The sequence below is a fragment of the Homo sapiens genome, chromosome 7 (assembly GCF_000001405.40).
Source record: "Homo sapiens chromosome 7, GRCh38.p14 Primary Assembly".
Classification (NCBI taxonomy): Eukaryota; Metazoa; Chordata; class Mammalia; order Primates; family Hominidae; genus Homo; species Homo sapiens.
The window spans coordinates 25,026,191-25,029,618 of NC_000007.14; the positions used below are offsets into that span (position 1 = coordinate 25,026,191).

The 3,428-nt window shown below is 43.8% G+C and overlaps 1 annotated feature.

Moving 5' to 3' along the window:
• Positions 2,628–3,129: an enhancer, noted in NCBI's record as "H3K4me1 hESC enhancer chr7:25068437-25068938 (GRCh37/hg19 assembly coordinates)". NCBI's record gives its function as "activates a minimal SCP1, AML or CMV promoter by ChIP-STARR-seq in naive and primed H9 embryonic stem cells {active_cell/tissue: H9 hESC(naive and primed)}" and the evidence as "EXISTENCE:reporter gene assay evidence [ECO:0000049][PMID:30033119]".

The window sequence follows — 3,428 nt, forward strand, 5'->3', positions numbered from 1 at the left end:
TTCTCTTTTTTAGTTAACCTAGCTCAAAATTGGGTTCTGTTAATAGCTATCAAAAACCTTAATAATTACAAGAAATCCATAGCACCTAGAATTTAAGTAAATCGAGCCAAGTCCTGTGGCTACTTAGCAGTAGGAGCTGGGTTCAGACCCATCTCCTAGCGCTCTCTCCATCACACTCTGAGTGGCCACCCTGGCTGCCTCATTGTTTTGCAAATACACCGACCTCAGGAGCTCATGCTGATCCTATTAGAGTTTGCTCCTCCTGTCACAAACAGCCCTAGAGGCCACTTCCTCACCTCATTTAGGTCTCAATTCTAATGTCACTCAGAGATACCTACCCTGACAACCTCATCTAAAATAGTCTCTAAATTCTTTCTTGTATACTTACTATAAATATTAAGTTTCTAGGCTTTACATATTTATTTATTTTTACTAAAACTTATTGCTACTAGAATTTATATTGCATGTTTATTTGTATACTTTTTTATCTACCTCCCCCCGTCCCCACCAGAATATAAGCTCTTTGAGGTCTGGGATCACCTTTCTTATCCATTGCTGTATTTTCAGTGCACTGACTAGAACTGCACCTGGCATATGGAAGATATCCATAAGTGTTTGTTTCATCAGTTCATTAAGCCTAGATCAATGCCATTTTCATGGCCTTATAATATTTGATCACAAACCTAGGAACACTCAGAAAAATCCTACTGGAGTAATCTCAGCAGTCTGGGAGGCTGAGGTGGGTGGATCACTTGAGGCCAGGAGTTCGAGACCAGCCTGGCCAACATGAGGAAACCCTGTCTCTATTAAAAATACAAAAATTAGCTGGGCATGGTGGCACACACCTGTAGTCCCAGCTACTTGGGAGGCTGAAGCATGAGAATTGCCTGAACCTGGGAGGCGGAGGTTGCAATGAGCCAAGATGGTGCCACTGCACTCTAGCCTGGGTGCCAGAGCGAGACTCTGTCTCAAGGGAAAAAAAAAGGAATGAAAACAACCTCTGAAGAATGTCCGTGAAACTTAGTTTCTCATCCTGCAGAGAAGATAGATGTCTGCTGGCTATTCTTCTGGACTGAAAGGATGTAGACAGTTGAGGCAATGTGCTCTGATCCAGCATTTATCAGAACAAAACAAAATACGTGTACATTCATTTCTAGTTGTTCTTTCACAGTTTTTCTGGCCTGGGAAAACAAAGCTTCAGTGACAGTCAAAACGCTTTTGTTCCTATGATATCACACTTTAAATTGCAAATGGTATCTACCTTGTTCTTGGCTTCATGTTATTTTCTGGGTCTGTTTTAAAAGATTGTTCACTGTGTTCATGCTCACTGTGTCCAGTCGGCCTGAGATGGTCTGGCTTGCTGAGAGTAGCCTGTCCCCACAGCTGTATGGGAGGAGAGCTGCTAGGACCTCAAAATGTCCAAATAGTGGCACTCACAGGAAGTCAGGAAGGGCGAGCTGAGGGAGGAAGCAGAGGAAATGGGATGTGCTCCCATCTGAGCCTGACTAGGATCTCTCAGTTTATAATTTTGAAACCCGACTATCAAACAGAGGGTTACTTTAGCTGTGGCTTTCAGACCCTGGTCCCCGTGTAGCCATGTCAATGGTAGCCCCTGACTAGCTACCCTGACACGCCTGCTATTTCATCCGTTGCTTTTAACAATGGGCTAATGAAAGGATGCAAGTAGCCGGAGAGTTAGCACCAGTCCATAACCAACACTGAAAAAATGGAACTGAAGAATTTAATAATAATATTAATTTGTGCTTGTATGTTACTCTTTCATGTTAACTTCTTCACTTTCATAGCACTTAATTTTAATCGATAAGAAACTCACTGTGATTTGGTGGCTGAGTGTGGTTGTTCAGCTAGTGAGTAGTAAGGTCTGGACTCAAACTCAGATCTCTTGACTGCAAGATCAGGGCTCTTTCCACCGCAGCTGCCTCCCTATGTCTGCATTCAAAGAATGGCTTGCTATACAATTTATTTTCGTGATTATGTTACATTGCCAAATAAGCACGGTCTTTTAGAGTCACAAATTCAGAGAAAGCTAAAGATAAATCAGCAGCCTGAAAAAGACAGTTGATAGTCTTTATTTGGTAAATCACAACACGAAGCCAGACCTTGACCCAAATTTGATGGTAGCCTTGTTTCTAATGAGGGCCCTGTCTGATGCAAGTGAAAAATGCAGTAACTCAGATTTATAGGCAGCCATCTCCATGCCTGGGGAGGCAGTGCCTGGAGCCTTCTCATCTGGCTTGCTGAGTCAAAGTCACTAAGTCTTTCTGCTCCAGAAACCACAAAAGTCACTTTGTTCTTTGACTTAGTCCTGCCAAAATTCAAAACTTGGTGAAATCGTTGAAATGGCCAGCCAGATGCCATTCCTTCACCAGACTCCCGATAGAAAATGACGTCGTGAAAAAATGACGTCGTGAGTTCAGCAACTCCCTAGCTAATTCCTGAGATTTCAAAGGCATTAGTAATTAATTCCACTTCTCCCTTCCTTCCACTAGCCACTCATGTCAAATAAGGGGAGTCAATGTTTGCTTGAATTACGCAGATAATTGCTTATTCTTTCCACTTGCCTAGGCGTGTTCTGAAAGCCTAGATAACAATTACCACAGGAAGTGGTGACTTTCCATCTCACCTCTTTGCTTTGTTTATCATTTTAAAAAATGAACTGTGATCAGACAGATATTCCAATGCCCAGGGGCTGAGATGTGTAAACAGAGAAGATGGTAGAAGGGAAGGGCCCTGAGCTTGCTCAGAAAGTTACAGGTGGAAGAAAGGCCTTGGGGAGAGTAAGAAAGCATAAAGACATCTCTTTAACCTTCCTTTTAAAGTCTTAAAGTTTGTGATGCAGCAATTAAACTTCTGAGAATTTACCTTTATGTCAGTCAGGGTCTAACCTGGAAAAGAGAAAGCTCTCTGAGTGTTCAGAGCAGAGATCAATGCAGGGAAGTGGTTGCTAGGGTAAGGGGTGCACCCCAGAGCTGAGCACCACCAAGAAGCCCTCTAGCTGCTGGGCTGAGGGGACCTGGGTGACAGGTGGTGTCATCAGAGCTGGGACCTTGATGGGCCTGCCTGGCAGTGGTGAGACCAGTGGGGAGAGACATGGCTGCTGGAGCCTGAGCTTCTCCCCGCCCCCCTAGCCAGTCTCCCATTGCACAAACCCAGCTGGAAACCAAGGGACTCAGGGCCCTGAAAAGCCCAGCCTGCATGGGGTCACACAGCCCTGTGACATAAGGCAGAACTGGGGGAGGGCAAGAAATGGATCCAAGAGCTCACCGGCCCAAGGAAGCAACCTAAAAAGAAATCATCAATAAGTAAATGTTTGTGAATGGATAGAAAAAGTCACAGATTCTTGTACCTAAAGACTAAGTTTGGATTTAAGATAAGTGAGATAACGAGAAATCATTCCAGAAAAAGAA